The sequence below is a fragment of the Homo sapiens genome, chromosome 2 (assembly GCF_000001405.40).
Source record: "Homo sapiens chromosome 2, GRCh38.p14 Primary Assembly".
Taxonomy (NCBI): Eukaryota; Metazoa; Chordata; class Mammalia; order Primates; family Hominidae; genus Homo; species Homo sapiens.
In genome coordinates, this window is record NC_000002.12 from 55,324,231 (window position 1) to 55,350,302 (window position 26,072).

The 26,072-nt window shown below is 35.5% G+C and overlaps 1 protein-coding gene and 1 long non-coding RNA gene across 5 annotated transcripts in view; one reads left to right on the plus strand and one right to left on the minus strand.

Annotated features, from left to right (window-relative positions):
- The window catches only part of LOC124907768 (uncharacterized), a 31,478-nt gene extending 15,399 nt beyond the window's left edge, over positions 1-16,079 (plus strand). The window contains exon 3 of the long non-coding RNA XR_007086323.1: positions 15,273-16,079. This is a non-coding gene — a long non-coding RNA (uncharacterized LOC124907768). The remainder of the gene's footprint in view (positions 1-15,272) is intronic.
- Positions 1-26,072, minus strand: part of CCDC88A (coiled-coil domain containing 88A) — a 132,015-nt gene that overhangs the window by 36,389 nt on the left and 69,554 nt on the right. For 2 of the 4 annotated variants that reach the window (NM_001254943.2, NM_001135597.2), the window contains exons 9-17: positions 25,288-25,369; positions 21,945-22,103; positions 20,138-20,284; positions 19,418-19,562; positions 15,234-15,418; positions 12,451-12,588; positions 9,864-10,934; positions 8,336-8,463; positions 4,064-4,202 (exon numbers count right to left, since the gene is read on the minus strand). In NM_001254943.2, coding sequence (NP_001241872.1) covers positions 4,064-4,202; positions 8,336-8,463; positions 9,864-10,934; positions 12,451-12,588; positions 15,234-15,418; positions 19,418-19,562; positions 20,138-20,284; positions 21,945-22,103; positions 25,288-25,369 — 2,194 coding nt within the window. Of the gene's footprint in view, positions 1-4,063; positions 4,206-8,335; positions 8,464-9,863; positions 10,935-12,450; positions 12,589-15,233; positions 15,419-19,417; positions 19,563-20,137; positions 20,285-21,944; positions 22,104-25,287; positions 25,370-26,072 lie in introns of all 4 variants that reach the window. The other 2 variants (NM_018084.5, NM_001365480.1) reach the window with 1 other exon arrangement.

Here is a 26,072-nt window from a genome sequence, read left to right on the forward strand (position 1 = left end):
CATCTTTAAAAACAGAGTTATAATTTGCATGAAGTTGCTAATGTACAGATTTTAAGTGTAATTCGGTAGTTTTGAGAATGGCAAACACCTATATAACCCATATATCAACATGACAGAACACTTCCATCACTCTAGAAAGATCACTGCACTAAGCAACCACTGTTTTCATTTCTTTCACAAAAATTCTGCTTATACTAAAATTTCACACAAATATGATCACAGTATATATAATCTGTGTGTATGTGTGTGTGTTTCTGAGTATATTTCTAAGCTTTAACCATGTGTTGAGTGCATCAGTAATTTTTTTCTTTTGGTCATTATATCCAGTTTTTATGATGATGAATGAAGTTGTTATAAAAATTCATTTATCTATGTTTTCATTTTCCTTGAGTAAAGAGAAGTAGCATTATCACCTTCTTTTTCTTTTTTTTTTGAGATGGAGTCTCGCTCTGTCGCCCAGGCTGGAGTGCAGTGGTGCAATTTCAGTTCACCACAACCTCCACCTCCTGGGTTCAAGTGATTCTCGTGGCTCAGTCTCCTGAGTAGCTGGGACTACAGGTGTGCGCCACCACGCCCAGCTAATTTTTGTATTTTTAGTAGAGACAGCATTTCACCATGTTGGCCAGGCTCGTCTTGAACTCCTGGCCTCAAGTGATACACCTGCCTCAGCCTCCCAAAGTGCTGGGATTACAGGCAAGAGCTACCATGCCTGGCCATGGGCCAGGACTTTTTGAGATACTGCCATACTGCCTGCTAAATTAGTTATAACACCTTATATTTGCATCAGTATGCATGACAGTTCCAGTTGCTCCCAATTTGCACCAATATTTGATCAATATTTCCATATAAATTTTAGAATCATCTCGTTAATCTGCCTGTTGGGATTTTAATTGGGATTATGTTGAATCAAGAGATCAATCTGGGGAAATCTGCCATTTTAACAATATTGAGTCTTCTAATTCATGAACATGGTTCTTATCTCCATTTACTGAGGTATTTCCTTTGGTGTTTCTAGTACAGAGTTCTTGCACACATTTCCTTAAATTCATCCATAAGTATTTCATAGTATTATAAATGGTGTTTTTTAATTTCATTTTTCAATCTTTCATTGCTAATGTAGAGAAATAAAATAGGTTTTTATATATTGACTTTTATCCTGTGACATTGATTAGTTCACCTTAGCTGTAGAGATTTTTCTGTGAATTCCTCAGGGTTTTCTGTAAATATAGTCATGTCACAGGTGAAGAAAGACATTTTTACTTCTTCCTTTCAAATCTGTATGCCTTTCATTTCTTCTTATCTTAGTATACTGGTTAGGATCACCAGTACAGCATTTAATAGAAACAGTGAGAGCAAAATCTTTGTATTCTTCCTGATTAAAGGGGGAAAGTGATTAGTCTATAGGCTGTTTATAGAAGCCCTTTATCTGGTAGATGAAGTTCTTTCTACTTATTCTCCAATTATTGAGAGATGAGTATTGAACTCTCTTACTGTAATTGTGGATTTTTCTCCATGTAGTTCTACAGATATTTGCTTCATGTATTTTGCAGCTCTGTTACTAGGTGTATCTCTGTTATTAGGTGCATAAACATTTAACCTTGTTATCTTTGTGCTGGAATGACCCCTTTATAATTATGCAATGAACTACTTAGCTCTGATGCTATTTACTGCACTAAAATTTACTTTGTCTAACATTAATATAGCCAATCTAGCAATTTTTTGATGAGTGCTGGAATGATATATCATTTTCCATCAAGATTTCTGATAGGTAGCATATAGATGGGTCTTATCTTTTTGTCTAATTTATTAATCTCTGTCTTTTAACTGGGGTGTTTAGACCTTTTATATCTAATATAGTTATTGCCATACTTTGGTTTAAAACTGCCATCTTACTATTTGTTTTCTATTTGTCCAATCTGTACTTTCTTCCCTGTTTCTTCTTTTTTTTTTTGCCTTTTGGATTTTTTTAAGAGACAGGATCTCCCTATGTTGCCCAGGCTGGTCTCAAACCCCTGCGCTCAAGCGAACTTGCCGACCTCAGCCTTCCAAAGTGCTGGGATTACAGAGATAAGCCACTGTGCCTAGCCTGGATTTATTTTTTTATGAGTCCATTTTATCTCCCTTTTTTGGTCATATTACCTATACCTCTTTGTCATACTAATTTAGTGGTTACTTTAACCCTTATACTATTCGTATTTAACTTTCACAGTCTACCTTAAAGTGAATACCTCTTCACATATAGTATTAAAAGTTTATAACAATATAAATTCAGTTGAATACATAGCAGGAAGCTAGTCCATAACAGTTATGTCCAAATAGCTGAAAGTGGAAGTCAATGATGGCTTTTTTTGAGACAGGGTCTCACTCTGTCACCCAGACTGGAGTGCAGTGGCAGGATGTCAGCTCACTGCAACCTCTACCTCCTGGATTCAAGCGATTCTCCTGCCTCAGCCTCCTGGGTAGCTGGCTGGGATTACAGGTGCCCGCCACCACGCCTGGCTGGCTAATTTTTGTATTTTTAGTAGAGACAGGGTTTCACCATGTCAGCAAGGCTGGTCTTGAACTCCCAACCTAAAAAGATCTGCCTGCCTCGGCCTCCCAAAGTGCTGGGATTACAGGCGTGAGCCACCGCACCCAGCCTAATGATGGCATTTTAAATATCTACTTGAAACACACGTATGCAACTCACACCCAAACCCACTAATTTTCTGGTTGAGTAGCTTCATGAAATTGATTTTATTTGCAACTCAGTGATACTGCTAATGGGGTAAAAAATTCAGGACAACAAGCAGGTTAATGTGTTTTTTTTGTTTTGTTTTGTTTTGTTCTTAATAATCCCTTTAGTTAACCAGACACAGTTCTAAAATTTATTCTCTGGCTCTGAGAATGTCTGGATGAAAAATAAGTAAAACTTATTCTGTAACAATGTATGTTCGATGGCAATGTCTGTGACAAATAGCAGCAATAATGGTGTCAGCAAATAGTGGAAAAAAACTGGAACATTCTATGTTACTAGATAATATTGCTTATTGAAAAAAATGACTATTTAGGAGAACTTTAAAGACCAATAGACAGCCCTATCTCTGAACTTCTCTGAGTACAGCAACTCTCATAATTGATTGGTATGTGCACTGTGGGAATCGTAAATCCATACCTTTGGAGTTGCTGCAAGAGGTAATGACTGCTATGAGTATACGGATTCAAAGCCAGGAAAGCTCCCGCACACACCCAGTGTGAATCTCATCTTATACCAAAACCATCTGGTGGGAAGATGATTCTCAGACAACTACGTGAAGAGGATGGACTGACACTGCCCTGCTATCTATTTGTATTTCTTATAGTGTTCTGAGTACAGCGATTCTAAATGTAGCCTACAGTAATCTTATCAGTCTAAGTGTTTAGTTAACCTTGAGACCACTCCTGGTGGCACTGCAGAGATGATAAAAGGGTGAATAAACCAGAACATGACTCTACCAATCTACCATCTACTAGCCCTGTGGAATGGGAAAGTCCCTTATATTTTGATTTACTTCCTTAGGGAAAATAAACAGTTGCCTCTGCCTTGCTTACTTACTTCACTGAATACTTTCAAATATCACAAGGAAAACAGATCTAGAAAAGACATCAAATTTATGAGATCAGGTGCTGTCTTATATAACACACATATGATTTTCCTCTAACTTGGTATACTCACACTCATATTTTGCTTAGCAGAATTTCCCCTGGATCCTCGATAGGAAAGAGTGACAGAGTGAAATGTCAGTATCACAATGAGAGCTTTTCCCAATAAAATAAGCCTGCCTCTTCCTCATTCCACCCACACACTTCTGATATATCCCTAACAGCAGGCAGGAATATTACACACATGAAATAGCACTGAATAAGCTATACCATATTCATATGACAGAGATCTGTTTAAGAATATTCTCAAGTTTATGAAAAAGGAAGAAATAGACTAAATATCAATAAAATGTTTATATTTTTATTTTCTACTTTATATTTTTCTGTCCAAATATTTATATAATAAATGATCCTTAAAATTCTTTCCAAGAAAATCACTTACTGTTTTAAGTTCTTGGCGCAATTGCTGGTTATAATTCGTGGATTCTTCTAATCGAGCTTCTAAAGCAGCAATTTTTTCTTCTTTTATTTCAAGAGACTTCTTAAGAGTGGATTCTAATTTTGATTCCAAAAGTTTATACCTACTATCCAAGTACAAAGTAATGTAGTTCATTATTGGAGGTCAGAAAATTATTTTTAAAGATAATTTATGACCACAAATATTCATGCCATAAATGGGTCTTATAAAAGCATTTTTGTTAAAGAGGCAAATGAAATTATCCTCTTCTTACTGCCCCATTCTCCCTTTAAAACTAATCCTGGTAATGAAGCAACAAAATCATTGAGTGAACAGAGCTCCGGATTATGGCTTAGATTATCAAAAGCAATAATTAATTCTCAAGGAACCCGGAAGACCAAAGTCCCAAAATATCCTTTTTATTAATGAAGACTCCTTTGTTTTGTTTTGTTTTGTTTTGTTTTGTTTTGTTTTGTTTTGAGATGGAGTTTTGCTCTTGTAGCCCAGGCTGGAGTGCAATGGCATAATCTCGGCTCACCGCAACCTCCGCTTCCCGTGTTCAAGCGATTCTCCTGCCTCAGCCTCCCTAGTAGCTGGGATTACAGGCATGTGCCACCACGCCCAGCTAATTTTGTATTTTTAGTAGAGATGGGGTTTCACCATGTTGATCAGGCTGGTCTCGAACTCCCGACCTCAGGTGATCCACCCACCTCGGCCTCCCAAAGTGCTGGGATTACAGACATGAGCCACCGCGCCCGGCAATGAAGACTCCTTATCTCAGGGTACAGAGTAGTTACAGTAAAAAAAATGACATACTTATGGCACAGGATACTCGTGACAGAGTGGCAAGAGGGTGATGGATGTGACTGTCAGTATTGCAATTATCTTTCTGAATGGTAGATAAATGAATAATTATTAATAAATACTTTTTTCACAAAAAGGATGGTATATGAACACAATTCAGTGTATCATAAACCACTATTTATGATCCATTTCTTAAACCTGAAGACCCTGAAGACAACACTAAATAAAAACCTAAAGTATGTATATGAGAGTTTCACCACATTCTTTTACTGGAATTAATTTTTATGTAAATATTTTCTTCTCAATCAGATTTTAATGTCATTGAATACAGAGAACAAATCTCATTCACTTTGGTATCGGCTGGAGTCAACAAACATTTAAAAATCATTTACTGCGTCTGATTTTGGGTATGTTGAATTGGTGACGTCTGAGTTGCTTCTGGTCTATCCTGATAGAAACATACAGTAAACAGAGAAAAAAAAGGATCTCAGGTGAGATGATGTATGGGAATGCTCAGCATACAGAATGAATGGATAAGAGGCCTGAAAACATAATCCTGTAAACAACCATATTGAAAGAGAAGACAGAAGACATCAAACAGGTATTAAAAGAGAAAAGACAAGAGTGATCACCTCTGTTTACAACTCTACCACTTTATTTATTTAGAGACAGAGTCTCACTCTGTTGCCCAGGCTGGAGTGCAGTGGCGCAATCTCAGCTCACTGCAATCTCTGCCTCTCAGGCTCAAGTGATTCTTGTTTCTCGGCCTCCTGAGTAGCTGGGATTACAGGTGTGCACCACCACGCCTGGCTAATTTTTTGTATTTGTAGTAGAGACAGGGTTTCACCATGATGGCCAGGCTGGTCTTGAACTCCTGACCTCAAGTGATCCGCCTGCCTCAGCCTCCCAAAGTGCCGGGATTACAGGCATGAGCCACCGTGCCCGGCCTACTAAATTTATTTCGTTGCTTTTAAATTTATTTACTTATACATTCGATTCCAAAACTATATATTCCTTGATGGCAAGAATAAGTATCTTAATAATAATTGTACCTTCAAATAAATTCAGAGAGAATAACATGAATTAGAAAGATGGGACAGTTAGGCCGGGCACGGTGGCTCATGTCTGTAATACCAGCACTTTCAGAGGACAAGGTGGGTGGATCCTGGGGTCAGGAGTTCGAGACCAGCCTGGCCAGTAAAAATACAAAATTAGCCAGGCATGGTGGTGCGTGCCTGTAATCCCAGCTACTTGGGAGGCTCAGGCAGGAGAATCACTTGAACCTCGGAGGCGGAGGTTGCAGTGAGCCGAGATTGTGCCACTGCACTCCAACCTGGGTGACAAGAGCAAAACTCCGACTCAAAAAAAAGAAAGACGGGAAACTTAGATTAATAGGAATTAGGGGCATCATTTGAGACTGATATACATAAATCCCAAGGTGGAGGGAATGGCACATTAAAGGAATTTATGTCTGTGAGTTTCTGGGTTTTTTTTGTGACATAAAGACTAACTTCCTGGCTGAGAAAGAAGCTAGTTTAGTAGTTCAAGCCACTTTCTATTTCCAAAAAGCTTTAGTTCAACATATACCCTTATCTCCATGCCTAATTCATTATGTAAATAAATATGTGGAAATAATGAATGGCATCACATGTTGCCTAGACTATTATAATCACTTCCTATCCTGTCTCTGTGCTTCCAAATTCATCCTTTTTGTAATCCATCTTTCATATACTCTAAAAATTGCTCAGCATACTTTTGTGCTTTTATACAAATGCTTTTGTCTACATGGAATGCCCTTTCCCACTGTTCCCACCTTGTAAACCTCTGTCATTTTTTAAGATTCAGTTGAAACATTATTACTACTTTGATGCTAGATGATCAGCAGATAAGAAGAGCTCAATTAACATTGGCTAACTGTATGAATTAAGGTTTGGGAAGAGGAGGCAAACTGTATGAAGGGTCCACCCAGAGCTGGGTTCATAAATTTATAATAGGGTCAAGTAGCACTACAGGGTGTATTCTACTTTTTCTTTTGCAAACAACATGCAGTACAGTGTCTTACATATAGTAGGTAATAAATCTGTTTGAATAAAGAGGGGATGCATATTCAGTATCTATATTAAAAGACAGTCAACGAAATCTGCACTTATCTGATTAACTCAAATAAAAATATTTCCTCATGAAATATCTGTACAATTAATTCAATAATCATTGCTTGACTTGAACTGATTGCTAGAATAAATGCCTCAAATTATATCTTTTTGTTATTACACAACTAACTTTTTAAGTGTCAATCTATCCTATTTACTTTGAACATTCTGAAAATTACATGAACAAATCCTATGTAATCACCATTAATTCTCCCAATATACATTTAATACAGAATATAAATACTGGAACAGTAATAATGAGTAGATAAAATATAAATTATATAATTACAAAAACTGAATGAAAATCTAGTCTACATAAAATAATATTCTTAACAATATACAACTTCTATTCCAGCTGGATTCATGGAGCTGACTGGATGCTAAATAATAGACTTGAAAATCAGATTAACTCTGTTTGATAGATTGTAATTACCATGAGAGAATACATATTTTTTTAAACCTATATTGATCATTTTTAAAATTAAAAGGCATAGAAGTTAATTTTTTATCCAGCTTTTAAGGCTTTAGTTTTCCACATTATTTTTATACCTCAGTTGCTTTTCTTTTCCTTTGTTTCATACTTTTCCTCCATTTATCTTTAAGTCAACATTTTGGCAAATAAAGAACAGAGATATTTAAGCACATGATTCAAATAAAAAATAACTTGCTTATTTTTGTTTGTTGTTAATGTCTTATTCTGTTTTTACAGTCAATTATAGCCTCTGATCTTCTGCTACCTGGGTGGCATCCTGTTTTCCTATTTTATAACTGTATTTATATAGTAACATTTTAGTTTTTTGTTTTCTTATATCTATATTAGATTGTCTATGATTCCTCTTTTCTCCTTACAGAACTTTCTTTTTTTTTCTTTTTGAGATGGAGTTTCGCTCTTGTTGCCCAGGCTGGAGTGCAACGGCACGATCTCAGCTCACCGCAACCTCAGCCTCCCAAGTTCAAGCAATTCTCCTGCCTCAGCGTCCTGAGTAGCTGGAATTACAGGCATGCACCACCATGCCCAGCTAATTTTTTTTGTATTTTTAGTAAAGACAGGGTTTCCCCATGTTGGTCAGGCTGATCTCGAACTCCCGACCTCAGGTGATCCGCCCGCTTCAGCCTCCCAAAGTGCTGGGATTATAGGTGTGAGCCACCGCACCCGGCTACAGAACTTTCCTTAAGGGAAGGAAGGAACCAGAAATAGGGTGAAATATATAAATGTTTTCTATAGCTAGTACAGAAAGAATTCATGTATGAGCAAAAAAAAAAAAAAATTTTCAACTGTTTGCCAAGTAGACTTAGTACTCACCTGTCATCAGTACTTTGTTCATCATGTAAGAGTCGCTCCTTATTTAACCCTATCTTCTCAAGCTCATGAGTTAATTTTTCGAGATCATTGTTCATCTGTTGGGTCTTCAACTTTTCACTCACCAAATCCTTATTTTAAAAGAAATGCAAAACTCACCTAAGTGTCAAGGGTATAAACATCTAAGAAAGTCAGCTAAGATTCTAATTACCACCATCTAGGAATACATGTAATTTGAACCAGGAAATGTCATTAAACCATTCCTTCATTATTAAAATGTAGTTAAAGTTATAACCTAGTTGAAATAACTTTTTTCCTTTTTTTTGCTAATACTTTAAACAAAACCTTAAAAGGGAGTAGTAACTCTTTACTTGTGAATACACATTTAGGTTTGAAAACTGGGGAAAATCATATCCATTTACTTTTTAATAATGAGCCTGAACTTTAGTGCACATTTCTTCTTATAAATATATGTTGACTATAATACTTCTCTCCCACAAGATCCCTTCTCCCAGTGAAAGAGGCCCTATGATACTGATCTGAAGAACTAGAGGATGTTCTTAGAAGTTTAGGCACAAGGAACTTGTTGTTCATGTTTATAAGTCTACAGAAGAAAAAAATAAAAGGTCCCTCTCAATGCTTCTTTAGCAGAAATGCAGACTGCCCAATGTGACCTTCTGCCAGAATGCTAATATACTTTTAAATTGAACTTAAAGGGTTATCACATATTATAATGCTTAGAGATGGGAAAAAAAGAGCCAAACATATACCTTCTGACTTGCATCAACCATGTTTCACAGGACATACTGCCAATTTACTCCTGTAAGTTTCAGAATTCTTCTTGATACATAGATTCAAGCAAATACTAGTTGCTCAGTGTTGAATGGTTGAACCTGATTTGCATTCTCTGGCTTTGAGGTCAAAATTCATGGGGCTTTGGAGTCTGAAAAATCTGGATTTGAATCCAGTAATCCAACTCTGCTATTTATTAGCTGTGTGATCCTAATTTATTTAATGTTTCTGAACCTCAGTTTTCTCATCTAAAAAATGGATATAATACTTATAAAGGATTAGTTGTAAAGATTATGTGCATGTATATATGTGTGTATATATATTTGGGTGTGTGTGTATATATTATTTATGTATATACAACTTATATGAAGTTTTTAGCCCAGTACTTGGCACACAGCACTCAATAAATAGTAGCTATCATGCTTCTTTATTATACTTAGAATTTAGTGTCTTGATCAAACATTATTATATTGAAATAAAGGTTTAAAATTATAATGTAATAAGTCAGATACCACTAGGAAACTTTATTACTACAAATTCTTTTAAAAATACAATTTATAGGTATTTCTTAGTTTAACAAAGTAGGAAACTTGGAAGCTATTTCTAGTTCTAATTCCAAAATTCTACTGAACCATAAAATAAATGATGCAAATTACTGATAGATTCCAATAAAACTTAAAGAAACCTTGAGTTAAAAATATAAAAAAAAATTTGCCTTAATTTAGGTAAACATATTTACCTCACGTAGTGTAACCAACGTTTTTATATCAATAGTTGCTCTTTTCACAAGCTCCTTATTTTCTTTTTCTAGTTCTTTCAGACGGACACAAGATTCTTTATATATACCAATTTCTTTGGATAGGGTTTTGTTTTCTTTTTCCAAATTTCCAATCTTCACATTATTTTCTTCTAATGTGGTATCTTTAATTTCTGCTTGTTGTCGGAGTCTCTTATTTTCCTTCTCCAATTGTTTCTTATCCTTTTCCAGTTGAGAAGTCTCTTGCTCTAATGATTTATTTTCTTTTTCCAGCTGTTCTAGTCTTTTGCTAGATATTTTTAGTTCTTCTAGGTTTTTCTGCAATGTTTGATTTTCCATCTCTAAGTCTTGTAGTTCACTCTCTAATTGCTGGATTTTTTTATTGCTGTTCTCTAAAGTTTTTTGCAGTCTTTGATTTTCTATATCTAAACCCTGGTAGCTAACTTCTAAGCGTTCTGTTTTCTTGAAAGATGCTTTCAGGAGCTCCAAACCCTTCTTAAGTTGCTCTTTTTCACTTTCCAGTTCTTTGTTTTCTAGCTGTAGCTGAGCCATTTTCATGCTTGCACACTTCAAAGATTCTACATTCCTTCGCAGTTCTAAGTTTTCCTCATCAAGTTGGGAATTCTCTTTTTCTAGGGATTCTAACTGAAAGGTCAGATTTTTAAAGCTATCCAATGTTTTTTTTAATTTTCTATTTTCTCTTTCTAGCTCTGAATTTTCTTGTTCTAAGGCCTCAATTTTTTCACAAGTAATTTTTAAATTAGTTATTTTTTTCTGTAATAATTCATTTTCTTTTTCAAGATGATGCAATTCATTTTCAAGTTCTTCAGCTCGTTCTCCTTTTTCTTTATAATGTTCCAATTCTTTTTTAATTTGTCTTTTTTCAAATTCAATCTTGCTTAGCTTGCTACTTGTTTCTTTGATAGATTCATGAAGAATTTTGTTTTCTTTTTCAATGTCTTTCACTCTTGCTTCTGCACTTATCTGGGACCGCTGCCTTAAGGAAGACACTGTTTGATTCAGATGTTCATTTTCCTGTTCCAGTATCTTAATCTAATTTGAAAAGAAAATAATTAAAAGCTGTAATTGAGGAAAAACTAACTATGGTTTATCTCTTCCAAAAACTACCAAGAAAAGGGGAACAAAAAAAGGGTGCTAGAACATGTCTTACTTTTAATTCTGACAAGTATTTACTGAAGACCACTGTGTACACTTACTGTGAGGTCATTTACTGAAGACCACTGTGTACACTTACTGTGAGGTCATTAAAGTTCATGTTTTTAGGAAGTTCACAGTTTAAAGGAACGGTTGAGAAATGTATTTTCTATTAATCATAATGGTCTTCAGATTATTTACAGTTACATGCTTCAAATTCAAATAGGAATACAGGTAACACACACACATACCTCCTTGAGAACATAAGGTTCTACTTTTACTAAGTAACCTTTGCAATGCCTACAGTGGGTCCTCAGTAAATATGTGCTGTATTACATGTGTATATATGGGTTTGTATGTGTGTGTATTCATTCCCAAAAAGAATTCTAAGTAGGAAGCATCAAAATCACAAAAATCACTGGGTACATTTGGGAACTAATTCATCCAATTTATAGCGTGATCTAATACAATGATTCTCAAAATTTAGTGTGTTAAATAATCTCAACAAGCTTGGAAAAATGAAGATTGAAGCTTAGTCTAGAATTTTGGTTCTGTATCTCTAAAGAAACCTTCATTTTTATGGCTGGTCTGAGGACTGTACCTGGATGATATAAACAAATAATTTAACTTCTAAAAAAATTAATGCTCAAGCATGGTGGCTGGCACCTATAATCCTAGCACTTCGGGAGGCTGAGGCAGGAATATCACTTCAGCTCAGGGGTTTGAGACCAGCCTGGGGAGCATAGTGATACTTTGTCTCTACCAAAAAATAAAAAAAAAAATTAAAAAATTATCTGGGCATGGTGGTGCATGCCTGTAGTCCCAGCTAAGGTGAAAGGATTGCTTGAGCCTAGGTGTTCGAGGTTGCAGTAAGCTATGATTGTGCCACTGCACTCCAGCATGAGTGACAGAGCTGGACCCTGTCTCAAATAAATAAATATTTCAAAAATAAGTCAATTAATCTATGCAGTTCTCAGTTTCCTCAAACATAAAATGAGAATGAACATTAAAGAGCTGAAAACAAATTTGGTAATATCCAAGACAGTGTGGTTGCCACCACATTTCTCCCTCTTTGGTAGGTCAGAGGACAGCTCCATTTCCTGGCCAACTCCACTCAGGGACTCTAGAATCGGCAGCCCTATTCCACAGACACTTGAAAGCACAAGTACTGCAAATGCTTATACTAGATGATTATTAAGCACAATGGTAGTTTAAAAAACTCTAAGCTTTCTCTTCAACTTTCCTAAGACACATAGGTTAGAAAATGAGGTAAAATTATAATTACTTTAAAATAAAAAAATTCTAAAATATTTCCCTTTAATGTTTATATGAACATTTTGTTTGCATATATTTTAAATAACTTTTGCTAATAAATTTTAAAATACATTGTTTACTTAGTAAAAAATGTATGAACCTGTCTCTCTGAATTTTCTCTCAGTGTTTCTATTGTTTTTTCAAGCTGAGCTTTCTCCTTCATTAGATCCTTGCTTAAATTCTGACAATTCTGAAGACTTTGCTTTTCTTGAACAATCTCATTTTCAAGAATCTCAACCTAGAGAAAATTAAATCACAAAACAATACGTTAAATATTCTGTAACAGTGAAAACATGTCAAAACAAAACATAATCGCTGAATAAAGGATAAAATAGTGTTAATATCCAAATGCTAAAATTTAAGAAATTAGTATAGAAATTCAAGTAGCATTCCATGCTAATTTCTGTAGCTGTATAAAATATGCAGACATGATTTCTTATCCTTGTGCATCTTTTGGGGTAAATTTCACTTTCTAAACACAAAGACAAATCCAGCTCAATAAATGATAATATGCTATATGAGAACTATACAAACTTTATTTAAAGATTCACTTGGCTTGAGTGGATTTGTAAAGTAAAATTTTACTTATACTCAGAGAATTTCAGTGAGCAAGAAGGCAGGAGAAGATATAAAAAGCATGAAGGAAAAGATGATAAACAGTACAGTATAAGCTTAATGAAAAAAGAAAGGACTTCCTTTAAGATAAAAAAGGAGAAAAATACTACCATAAAAAAGGGCTAATATTTATATTTTAGGTTCAAATTTCTTTTCAATTACGCATTTTAGAGATGAAAAATACTGGTAGTTAATATGTACAAAATAGCAAATTAAAGTTAAAAATATGCTAAGACTATTGATTTTCCCATTATCATATAACATATTCAAACCAGGCAATTTAAAAAATCAAGAAGACTTTATAAAACATTCTACTGCAAGTTAAATGTTAAATTCTTATGTCAATAATGAAGCACTCTAAAGCAATTTTAATTTTTCTATTTTAACATTAATGGAAATAACTACACACAGAAACAATCTTCCAATAATATTTCCAGCCTGGGCAACACAGTGAAACGATGTCTCTACCAAAAACAAAACAAAAAACAAAAAAACTTAGCCAGGCATGGTGGCCTGTGCCTGTAGTCCTAGCTACTTGAGAGGCTGAGGTGGGAGGACTGCTTAAGCCTGAGAAGCAGAGGTTGCAGTGAGCTGAGATCGCACCACTGCACTCCAGCCTGGGTGATATAGTGAGACCCTAGCTCGAAATACTACTACCAATAATAATGATGATAATAATAATAATAATATGAAAAGCATCAGGTCAAAAAACTTATCCAATAACTCAATTCAACATTAATTTACAGTTCAGGAAGCTTTCAGCTGTGAATAATTAATCAGGTTCTCACATTACATAGATGGAAATATAAGAATAACAATTATTGAAACTCATTTGTTGTTTTGTATCAATGGGATTAAAGTGAAACATTCAGTTTATAAAAAAATCATTTTTACAATTAATCAAAAATTGCTTGAATCACTAAGAATTTACATATTAAACTTCAAAGCTAATTTCAAAAAGAAACTGTACTCTACAGGCCCAATTTTAATGACAACCAAAATAAAACTGTTCTAAATTCTAAATGGTCATCCTACTTTAACACTATATTGTCAAACGCTTATTAAGATTATTTAGTTAATGGACTGAAGACAATGTAAAAACATTTTTAAACAGTAAAAATCTTACAAGAATACTAAGGAGCCTCTGAATAATCTAAAGCAGTGGTTCTCAAAGCATGATTCCAGGACAGCAGGATGAGCATCACTTAGGAACTTCTTAGAAACAATTCTTAATCATGCATGTTTTTATGATGGGATTCTATTTATGTAGAATTATGTGTGCAGAAAGATATGCAAAAATAAAACACTTGTTCTTGCACAACTGAATATTTCTGTTCAACCAGAGTCTGATTAAGATTCAGGTTTCATAATGCCTAAATTGTGGTCTCTAAATATCATTTCCCACTAAAAGGAATAAGGGCTAATTTCAGAGAAATGGCTGTCTCCAGGTCTGGGACAGAAAATGTTCAAGATGAGCCTAGAATATTTTGTCATGGCAGAAAGCAAGAAAGCTCTTAAGGAGTGCTAAGGCCATGTCATAAGGATTCAGGACCAAAGCAGCTTTTAAAGAGGCTTCCACTAGCCCGAGTTGAGACAGTAAGAAAAACAAATGCAGTGGATTGAAACAATACAAATATTTTTAAATTCATGGGTTCATAATGACACTAAAGAAACTCACTCACTAGTTCTCTCAAGAAGATATGAGAGAACCAATTCATTATTTGGAAACTGGTAAATGTAACTCCTCTAGCCCTGCTTATTCTTTTTTTTTTTTTTTGAGATTTTGAGTCTTGCTCTATGGCCCAGACTGGAGTGCAGTGGCGTGATCTCAGCTCACTTCAACCTCCACCTCCCGGGTTCGAGAGAGATTCTCCTGCCTCATCCTCCCGAGTAGCTGGGATCACCGGCGCCCACAACCACACCCGGCTAATTTTTGTACTTTTAGTGGAGACAGGGTTTCACCATGTTGGCTAGGCTGGTCACAAACTCCCGACCTCAGGTTATCCATCTGCCTTGGCCTCCCAAAGTGCTGGGATTACAGGCGTGAGCCCCCGCACCTGGCCAAGATCAGCTAGTAAGTTCTTAATTGCTGAAGCTGAATAATGAGTATAGGGTTCATTCACACCATATTTGTGTATATTTGAAAATTTTCATAACAAGTTAAAATAACATTGAGCGTGCATTTAAAAAGTGGAAAATAAATGGGCTATTTATTTACACTTTTACAAGTTTTTTTAACATTAAAATAAACACTACATTTTAATTTACCTTTTTACTGAGCCTTTGATTTTCTTTTTCCATTTTCAGGATTTTGGAAGCATTGCCTTCTACAGAATCCACAGTAGTCCGAAGCTCTTCTACGGTTTTTGTCAAACTTTGATTTTCCATCTCTAGCTTCAATAATCTACTTGATGTCAACTCATTCACCTCATGGCCCAGGGATTTCTGGGGTGCTATAATATTGAAAAATACACCATTGTATTTACTCTTTACTGTTTTTACTATGTTTACTCTTTACTATTTAAAAAGTTGAGTGTATATGCATTGCATCATCTGATCCTTAACTTTATTAAAAATTCAATGAGGTTATATAAGATAAACAAGATAAAAGAAGTAAATCTTTTTTTTCCTTTTCTTTTTTTCTTTTTTTTAAAGAGACGGGGTCTCTCTCTGTCACCCAGGCTGGAGTGCAGTGATGTGCTCCTAGCTCACTGCAGCCTCAAACGCCTGGTCTGAAGGGATCCTCCCACCTCAGTCTCCCAAGCGGCCGGGACTGCAGGTACAGCCAGCTAATTTTTTTATTTTTTAGTAAAGACTGGGTCTCTGTTACTTAGGCTGGTCTCGAACTCCTGAGCTCAAGCAATCCTCCTGCCTTGGCCTCCCAAAGTGCTGGGATTACAGGCATGAGCCGCTGCACCCAGCTAAGAGATACATGTTTAACTTTTAATGCATCCACAGCATTCTAGTTAAAAAAAGCATAAAATTTAGATTGAAGAAATTGGAGTTCAAGCAGACCCATTAAATATTTTGCTGATATAAGAACATTAGGATTTACAAATGAAATATGAGACCTACTATTTCAAGAAAGGAAATGAATAAAGGTACTGGAGAGAATTTCCGGGTCTGCTTTTGTGTATGTTTCAAATTCTTCTTCATAAAAACCAAAGAAATACACGCACATCCAACATATCCCCCACCATGCAAAAAATCTCTTCAAAATTAGATAAGCAAATAACCTCCATATTTAAGTAAAGAAAATCTCAATTTTTATTTCCAGCTTTTCTAGTCATCATGTTGTTAATCTTTTACTGAAAGCTGGTATACCGAATAGTTACTAACTTTTAAAATTCCATTAGTTGCCTAAGTCTTTTTTTTAATTAAAAGATTATTTAAATTTAACTATAAACTTACAGGATACATTATTCTAAGTAGCAACTAATGAACGATTAAATGAATTTTGAAAATACACTACTACTTATTTTGGCTAAAAGTTCAAAATGAATATTCTGAACACGCTGAAATTATTTTAAAATCTTTAATCCAGTTCCATTCATTATCCCTTTATAAATTTATTCTGTTGTATGATATCTATTAAAACACAGTATAGAAACAGTTTAAATACATATTATTCCCTAAGAGTAGCATTATTGTTAATCTACCTGTATTAGGTGTTTTTAAATAGTCACTATGATACACAATAGATCTCTTAAACTTATTCTCATCTAAGTGAAATTTTGTGTCCTTTGACCAACATCTTCCCAATACCCTCAACTCCTCAGCCTCTGGTAACAACCATTTTATTCTCTGTTTCTATGAGTCTGAATTTTTTTTGATACCACATATAAATGAGATCATGCACTATTGTCTTTCTGTGCCTAGCTTAGTTCACTTAACATAATGCCCTTGAAGTTCATCCATATTGTTGCAAATGACAGAATTTCTTTCTTTTTTTTTTTTTTTTTTTTTTTGAGACAGAGTCTTGCTCTGTCACCCAGGCTGGAGTGCAGTGGCATGATAGTGGCTCACTGCAACCTCTGCCTCTCGGGTTCAAGCGATTTTCCTGCTTCAGCTCCCAAGCAGCTGGGACTACAGGCGCGCGCCACCACGCTCAGCAAATTTTTTTTGTATTTTCAGTAGAGACGGGGTTTCATCATGTTGGCCAGGATGGTCTTGACCTCGTGATCTGCCCGCCTCGGCCTCCCAGAGTGCTGGGATTACAGGTGTGAGCCACCATGCCCGGCACTCCCCGCCCCCTTTTTTTTTTTCTGGGACAGAGTCTCACTGTGTCACCTAGGCTGGAGTGCAATAGGATGATCTCAGCTCACTGCAACTTCTGCCTCACGGGTTCAAGAGGTTCTCCTGCCTCAGCCTCCCAAGTAGCTGGGATCACAGGTGTGCGCCACCATGCCTGGCTAATTTTTGTATTTTCAGCAGAGACGGGGTTTCACCATATTGGTCAGGCTGGTCTTGAACTCTTGACCTCGTGATCCACCCGCCTCGGCCTCCCAAAGTGCTGGGATTACAGGTGTGAGCCACTGCACCTGGCCAGAATTTCATTCTTTTTATGACTGACAAATATTCCATTATGTATATAAACCACGTTTTCTTTATCCATCATTTCATTGACAGACACAGGTTGATTCCATATCTTGACATTTGTGAATAATGCTGCAACAAGCATGGGAATGCAGATATCTCTTTGATATACTGATTTAATGTCCTTTAGATATATACCCAGGAGCAAAACTGCTGAATGCTATGAGAGTTCTATTTCTAATTTTTTGAGGAACCTCCACACTGTTTTCCAGAATGGCTGAACCAGTTTACATTCCCACCTATTCCATAGAAACTTGAAAGCACAAGTACTGCAAACTTTTATACTAGATGATTATTAAACACACTGGCAGTTAAAAAACTTCTAAGATAGTTTTAACTTTCCTAAGATACGTGGGTTAGAAAATGAGATAGAAAAGTTCTGAAACAAATTTTCTGAAATGAAAAGTGACTTAAAAAATTTTTAGTGCCTTTTATTTCTTCCTTTTTTTCCCAAATTCTGTAAATTTTCTGGAAAGTCCCTTGTATAATTTAAAAAATAAAAACTACATACACCACAGTAAAGCAAATATTCAATTCTACAACACCAGCTAAGATCAATTACAAAACAACAGTGACATAATAATAATGATATTTAATACTTGAATGCTTACTATTTACCAGGCACTATTTAAGGGCCTCACAAATATCAACAATTTAATCCTCAGAAGTCTAGATGATATTCACTATTTTGTCCCCACTTAACAAGTAAGGAAACTCTTAACTAACACAGTAATTCTAAATACCTTTAGTAGAAAACACTTAAGTCTGAATTGCTTTCTTTGTAACTCAATTCACAAGGAATATAATTTTTAAAGTTTCACAAATATCTCAAGTAACACAAGTTCAATCATTGAATATCATAACTTACTCTATAGCCAGTACATGGGGCCCCAGAATTTGGAATTAGGTTTTCAAGTATAAAACAGGAAGAACCTAATTGGTAATCAATAGGATGAATCATCTATAGAGGTAATTATTCTGTAAGCACTGGATTATAAAATCTCAAGAGTTTATGTCTACGTCAACATTATGTCCTTGGTGTCTGGTATAGTATTTTACACATTAGGTGCTTAGTAAATATTTGCTGAAGAAATGCAAGTAGAACAATCTAATACTGGGCAAAACTGAGGAGTTTTGAAACTAGTCTAATTTGAATAAATGTGACCTAACTGGTGAATTTTTTTGTAATTTCAAAAATCCATATTAGCATATCCAAAGCTATAATCCAAACAATTGTACATAATCATGCCCAGCTTTAAGAAAGAGGACAAGTCAATGTGAAGCCCAGGAAAAGAGAGCCAAAAGTTAAAAATTTACCTGGGGGATCTTACATTAGGTCCATAGTATAACCAGGCTGGGCTGGTTGGCAGGTATAATCTTATAATGGAGACTATACATATTACAAGTAGTCATGAAGATCCTTAAATTAACTAATTCTAACTATATTTTCCTCTGAAAATTTGCCCATTATGCTTTAACTTCCTATTTGGGTTTACCTATAGTCAAAGAACATGCTGACCACTAATACGACTTTTCTGTTCTATTTATTAGATGGCTATATTTCTTAAAATACATTAATAAACTGATATTGCAGCCTCTTAGGATATTAACATGAAATAGTGGCTAAGAAACCAATTAAATCTGTTATTGCATTCATGAAATTCAGTTGTAAGACATGTAAAGCTAGGGACCAGACCCAAGAAAATGCAAACAATATATTACTGTGTGAAATCATATCTATGGAGACAGGTAGTCTTCTGAGATATCTCCCACTGCGGAAAATAAAGAACTGCAAGTAAACATAAATACAACTTCATGATTCGATTATCTATTTAAATTAAAAAAATTGGGAATACCTTCGGAAAGTTCACTAGTTCTGGATATCTGTTCCAGTTCCCAGCCAAGATGTAATGATTCATCCATACTTTGTTTCTGTGCCATTTCCAAAGTCATATTTTCTTCCATTAATTCTTCAATCTTTTTTCTATCCATATCTCGTTCCTTTTTTATTGGCAAGGATTAGGGAGAGAAAAAAGCTAAGAAACAGTACAATTTTGAGCAAATACTTTATTTCTCACAACTTTTATTTATCAGAAACTCAGTAATAATTATGAGTTCTTTAAATTTTTCAGTTTTGAAGGCAATTATAATTATTACCGGTCATTATACTGATTAAGTGTCTGACATCCTTTTAAGCTGATCTTTGGGGACACAATGAAAATTCTTCTTCATAGTCAACATACTGTTTTAGTGATACAACAAAAGAATTATGAACCAATGCTAAATTTTAGCAATCAGATTTCTGTATTTTTAAAGACATGTTTACACAATAGCTTATTTATTGTGGTATTAAAAGGTTGAAGACAACATTAGTAAGTAACATGCTTCTGTAACAAAAGCAGAAATTTCTACTACTTTTATATTTATATAAAGTTGGAGGCATCTAATTTATTTAGCTCTCTCTTCTCTGTTAAAGCCTCAAGGACACTAGCCATCCTTGCCAATACAGGGAAATCAGCTGAATCTTAGAAGTTTTCCTTAAAGGCCATGTAACTGATCTACCTCTTAAAACTTACCATTTCCATATCATGAAGTTTAGCTTTCAGTTGTAAGTTCTCTTTTTCTAATTCATGTAATTTATCAGAACGAGCACGAGTTCCCTCTAGTTGGTCTTCCAACATGGTTTTTGTTTCTAATAAAACTTGATTGTCTTCTTTTAATTCCTATAAATGTTTATCACAAATGTGTTAATATCTGTTAATTTTTTAAAGTTATGGAACATACAGATTATCATAAAACATTAAGCCATCTTTATCAACAGTTCTATGCATGAGGAAACCTACTGAGTAATAGAAATACAATTAATGTTTTCTTGGCTTCCTTTTTACCCCAGAATGCAAACAAAACACTCAGTTCTTAAGATATATAATACTACTATAACTTCACATTAAATTGTCGGGGTATATTTAACTTCCTTAGTCACAAGGATAAGGAATTAACTAAGTACAAGGAGTCTTCCAGATATTTAAGATACAATTCTCCATGGAATCAAGGCTTAATGTATTGACTGAAATAGATTTAAATATTTCTCTGTACTTGGAGCTATAACTTGGAAGTGAAGGGCTTGAGGTTTTTGCAGTAAAATACCAAGACTTAAACCAGAACTCACATAAATCATAAACCAAGGCTCTATTAATAAATATTTTATATAAATACACCTTGAGGAAATCCTTAAAAGTCCCTGCATATGTTTTGAAGACAAGTGTTCACAATTCTATCTTGCTAAGTTATATACCTATGGTTTCTAAACTAAAGTCTAGAAAAAGTATACTAAGACAGTGGTATTCATGAGAATCCCTTAACAGTGTCATGCATACACAAGTCTTTAAATAACTGGCAAATAATTAATATGTACTTTATCTCTACAGTCCTATTGGGTCTACTTACTGGTAACCTTTAAGCTAAAATGTTCTAACTACTTTCTCTTATGTTTTCGTTTCTTGATTTTGTATACTCCCTCCTTCTTATCCTAATACTGAAACTGACCAAAATCTCCTGTTTACAGATGAGGAAATTAACTGAGAAAGAAGATACAAGACCTGCCAAATTCTTTTTTTTTGTTTTGTTTGAGACAGAGTCTCACTCTGTCGCCCAGGCTGTAGTGGCGCGATCTCGACTCACTGCAACCTCCACCTCCTCGGTTCAAGCGATTCTCCTGCCTCAGCCTCCTGAGTAGCTGGGCTTACAGGCATGCGCCACCATGCCCAGCTAATTTTTGTATTTTTAATAGAGACGGGGTTTTGCCACACTGGCCAGGCTAGTCTCGAACCCCTGACCTCAGGTGATCTACCCACCTTGGCCTCCCAAAGTGCTGGGATTACAGAAGTGAGCCACTGTGCCCAGCCTGACCTGTCAAATTCCTGTCAAACTCAACTTCATGTAACACTGAACTGTAACTATCAAGTTAGAATATTTTTTTCATTTGTTTGCATATATATAGACTTCATTAATCTTAATTTAGTGATCTCAGTTAAGAAGCAATCTGAAATATGTTTTGCTTTCACTTTTGGAAAAAAGTCTGAAATAGAAGTAAATATTTTGACTACAAGGGAAGGACTTCAAAGGTCTGCTCTATATATGATGCTAAGAAAAGGAATAAAAGAAGAACCCCAGAGTTCAATAAAATTAGTAATATCCATAGATCCCTTTTGTAAAAGTCTAACTAAAAGCAATATGCTAATCTATCATAAAATAAACATACCCAAATGTATTTACTGTTTGTTCACCATTTCAAGAGTTTCTCATGTTTATTAACTGCATTTTAAATGTGTTAAAATTCTAACACAGAAAAAAAAATCATGAATGGTTAATTATGCAACATACCTCAACTCTTGCCTTATAAAATTCAATATCATGTAGTCTCTCTTTATATCTGCTGACTTCACTTTCAAGCTTATCGACTCTGACTGCTTTCTCTCGAAGTGCATCTAATTCATCTCGGTACATTCTGGCAGAGCGAGCATCCGAAAGCAAATTCATGTTCTAAACAAAAATTTAAAATTATATTTTAATTATTTTCTGTTATCAACTTGTTATTCTTTGTTGCACAATTTGAAATTTTATTTATTTATTTATTTATTTATTTGAGATGGAGTTTCACTCTTGTTGCCCAGGCTGGAGTGCAATGGTGCAATCTCAGCTCACTGCAACCTCCGCCTCCCAGGTTCAAGCACTTCTCCTGCCTCAGCTTCCCAAGTAGCTGGGATTAAAAGCTCCCCCCACCATGCCCGGCTAATTTTTGTATTTTTAGTAGAGATGGAGTTTCGTCATGTTGGCCAGGCCAGTCTCAAACTCCTGACCTCAGGTGATCCACCTGCCTCAGCCTCCCAAAGTGCTGGGATTACAGGCGTAAGCCACCGCACTCGGCTGATAAATTTACTTTAAAAATCAAAAAAGTACATACTTTAAAATGGTGAATTTTATGGTATGTAAATTATATCTAAATTTGTTTTTTAAATGGGGAGATATAAACTTTTTTTCCATTATCGTGGATATGTTACTAAAATTTTTTTAAAACCTTTTTAAAAAAATCGAAGTATTTTAAACATATATATACATTTATGCTCATATTTTTTAAATATCATGCTATCTGTCAGGAATGTAAAAAATATTCAGGATATTTTAAAATAAGTTAACATCTATGTAACAACCATTTGCAATTAATTTATGGTGAAAAAGTTAATTTTAAAATAAAAGATGGTAAAAATACAGAAAAGGCAAACAATATTACTAAAATAAATCATTAATTACTGTATAGAAGTAAAGTTTCTATAGATATGTTGTGATATACCAAAATCTTGCTGACATTTTTTTAATGCTTCCAAGTAAAATCATTAGTGCATACGTTAATGTCATTTGAGACAAATATTAAAATCCAACCTTTTAAAAGCCTTATTGTAATCCTTTAGGATAGTAGTTCTTAAAGTGTAATCCAGGGTCTTCTGTGGACCCTGAAACCTTTTCAGGGAGTTCAGGAGGTCAAAAGTATTTTCATAATAACCTAAGACATTATTTGTCTTTTTCACTTTCATTCTCTCATGAGGGCAGAGTAAAGTTTTCCAGAGGCTACATGGTGTGTGACATCTTAACAGACTAAATGCAGAAACAGCTATGAGAATATAGTAGTAGTAATCTATTAAGCAAGGTATTAAAGAGATCTGCAAAAATGTAAAATAGTACCATTCTTTTAATTATTCTTTGTTTTGGAAAATAACGGTTATTTCATTAAAATACCTATGTTATCTATTCATCTACCTTTTTTTTTTTTTTTTTTTTGAGACAGAGTCTCACTCTGTCACGCAGGCTGGAGTGCAGCAGTGGCACAATCTCAACTCACTGCAACCTCCACCTCCCAGGTTCAAGCGATTCTTGTGCCTCCGCCTCCCAAGTAGCTGGGATTACAGGTGTGCACCACCACACCCAATTAATTTTTGTATTTTCAGTAGAGACAGAGTTTCGCCATGTTGCCCAGGCTGGTCTTCAATTCCTGGCCTCAAGTGATCTGCCTGCCTTGCCCTTTCAAAGTGCTGGGATTACATGTATAAGCCACCATGCCCAACCTAGTTATTTATTTTAGAGATGGAGTCTAACATGGAATGGGTTAATTTTTTAATGACTTTTTTTTTTCCTTTGAGACAGGGTCTCACTCTGTCACCCAGGCTGATCACTGGCACATTCACAGCTCACTGCAGCCTCGACCTCCCAGGCTCAAGTGATCTTCCCACCTCAGTCTCCCAAGTAGCTGGGACTACAGGCGAGTGCCCCATTACGTGCAGCTAATTTTTTCATTTTTTTGTAGCGATGAGGTTTTGTCACGTTGCCCAGGCAGGTCTTTAACTCCTGGGCTCAAGCAACCCACCTGCCTTGGCCTCCCAAAGTGCTAGGATTATAGGCATGAGCCACTGCGCCCAACCCAAGTGACTTAATTTTTTTTTTTTTTTGAGACGGAGTCTCGCACTGTTGCCCGGGCTGGAGTGCAATGGCGTGATCTCGGCTTGCTGCAACCTCCACCTCCCGGGTTCAAGCGATTCTCCTGCCTCAGCCTACTGAGTAGCTGGGATTACAGGTGCCCACAATCACGTCCGGCTAATTTTTGGTATTTTTAGTAGAGACAGGGTTTCACTACGTTGGCCAGGCTGGTTTCGAACTCCTGACCTCTTGATCCACCTGCCTCAGCCTCCCAAAGTGCTGGGATTACTGACGTGAGCCACCGCACCTGGCCAGACTTAAGTTTTTAAAACTTCATAGTTTTAGTTTCTAATATGGTAAATACCAATAGATATAATCCACATTAAACCAATCCTCATTAATTTTTAACAGTGGTGAGGAGGCTTGAGACCAAAAAGACTGCTTTAGAGAGAACCTTTAGAGAAAACTACTGCTTTAGAGAGAACCAACACACGTAAAAAAAACCCTGCTGCCAACAAGTAGAAAAGCAACCCCAGCATGTCTAGAAATAAAGACTATGAAGCCCAGTCTCATTTATCTATGAAGGTCCCAGTTTATGATCCTACAATTACAGTATTCCCTGCATCTAAAGTCAGGTATGGGGAAGTTAAGGGAAGAAACAACTATCCAGCCTTATCCTAATCCTTAGCACTTATGGATTAAAGAGCTCATACACTAACCCCAAATAAAAATGAAACATTAGAGTGATTGTAAAAGTGAACTATTAATTACTCTTGGTTTAAGGTGAAAAAAGAAGAAGCTGCTGTAAAATAAAGATACTTTTTAAAAAGTTTTAATCTTATTTAATAGGAAAAGTGAAAAAAATCAAAAAACATTCTATTACATATGAGTTAGCATAAAGCACTATCAGGGAGCAGAGACACAGAGAGATACACATAAAGAGCACAGTTTACAGTAGAGGTGTTCTAGCTTCCAAGGCCACAGAAGCCAAACACATCAAAAAGAAAAATGTGGAACTACCTCAGTCCTAAGTAGCTCTTTTGAATCTTAGCAGAGTTTGAACAGCATTAATATGGAAGAAAGTTTGGCTCTGACATTTTTGAAGAGAGAGACTCTGAAAAAGTCATCCAATCTCTTGAAGCCTCAGGAACCTCTTTTATTTACATAAAGCATTGAAGTAAAGGTTATAAATTACAAGGAAGAAAATCAATTTCCAATTACTTGGTGGTCCTAAATAACAGATATTCCAGGTACAAACCTCTTGTTGCAGCCTTTTGAGTTCTATTTCCATTTGCTCAAGTTCTTGTTTACAATCCAACAACTGCTCAGTCTTTTCCTCCCTTAAATGCAAAAATATATTCATTAAGTATACTATTTTTGAAAACTGTGATCATCATCTGCGTTAATATAAATGTATCATCATCACTAAATAACTAGTTGGACATAGTATTAGCCATAACCCTAATCTAGAAGATAAAAAAAAAAAGATAGATATTAGGAATTTATATAATTAGATGCCATTAATAAAACCTCTTCCCTAATGTTTTCCAAAGGCTAATGTTCTCATAGTATGTAATACAGTTTTTCTCTTTCTCTCTTTTCATCTTTCCTGCCCTTCCATTTCCACTCTTCTTTCTCTCTTCCTCACTCTCTGCAGTCACAGACAGTTAAGCTAAGAATTTTTTTTGAGACGGAGTCTGGCTCTGTCACCCAGGCTGGAGTGCAATGGCGCAAACTTGACTCACTGCAACCTCTGCCTCCCAGGTTCAAGCAATTCTCCTGCCTCAGTAGCTGGGATTACAGGCGCCGGCCACTATGCGGGCTAATTTTTTTATTTTTAGTAGAGACGGGGTTTCACCATGTTACTCAGGCTGGTCTCAAATTCCTGACCTCAGATGCCACCCGCCTTGGCCTCCCAAAGTGCTGGGATTACAGGCGTGAGCCACCGTGCCCAGCCTAAGCTAAGAATTTTTATGCAAGGCAGTTCTACCTGTGTCTAAGATTTGTAAGGGTCTCCAACTATTTTCAACATTTACAATGGCT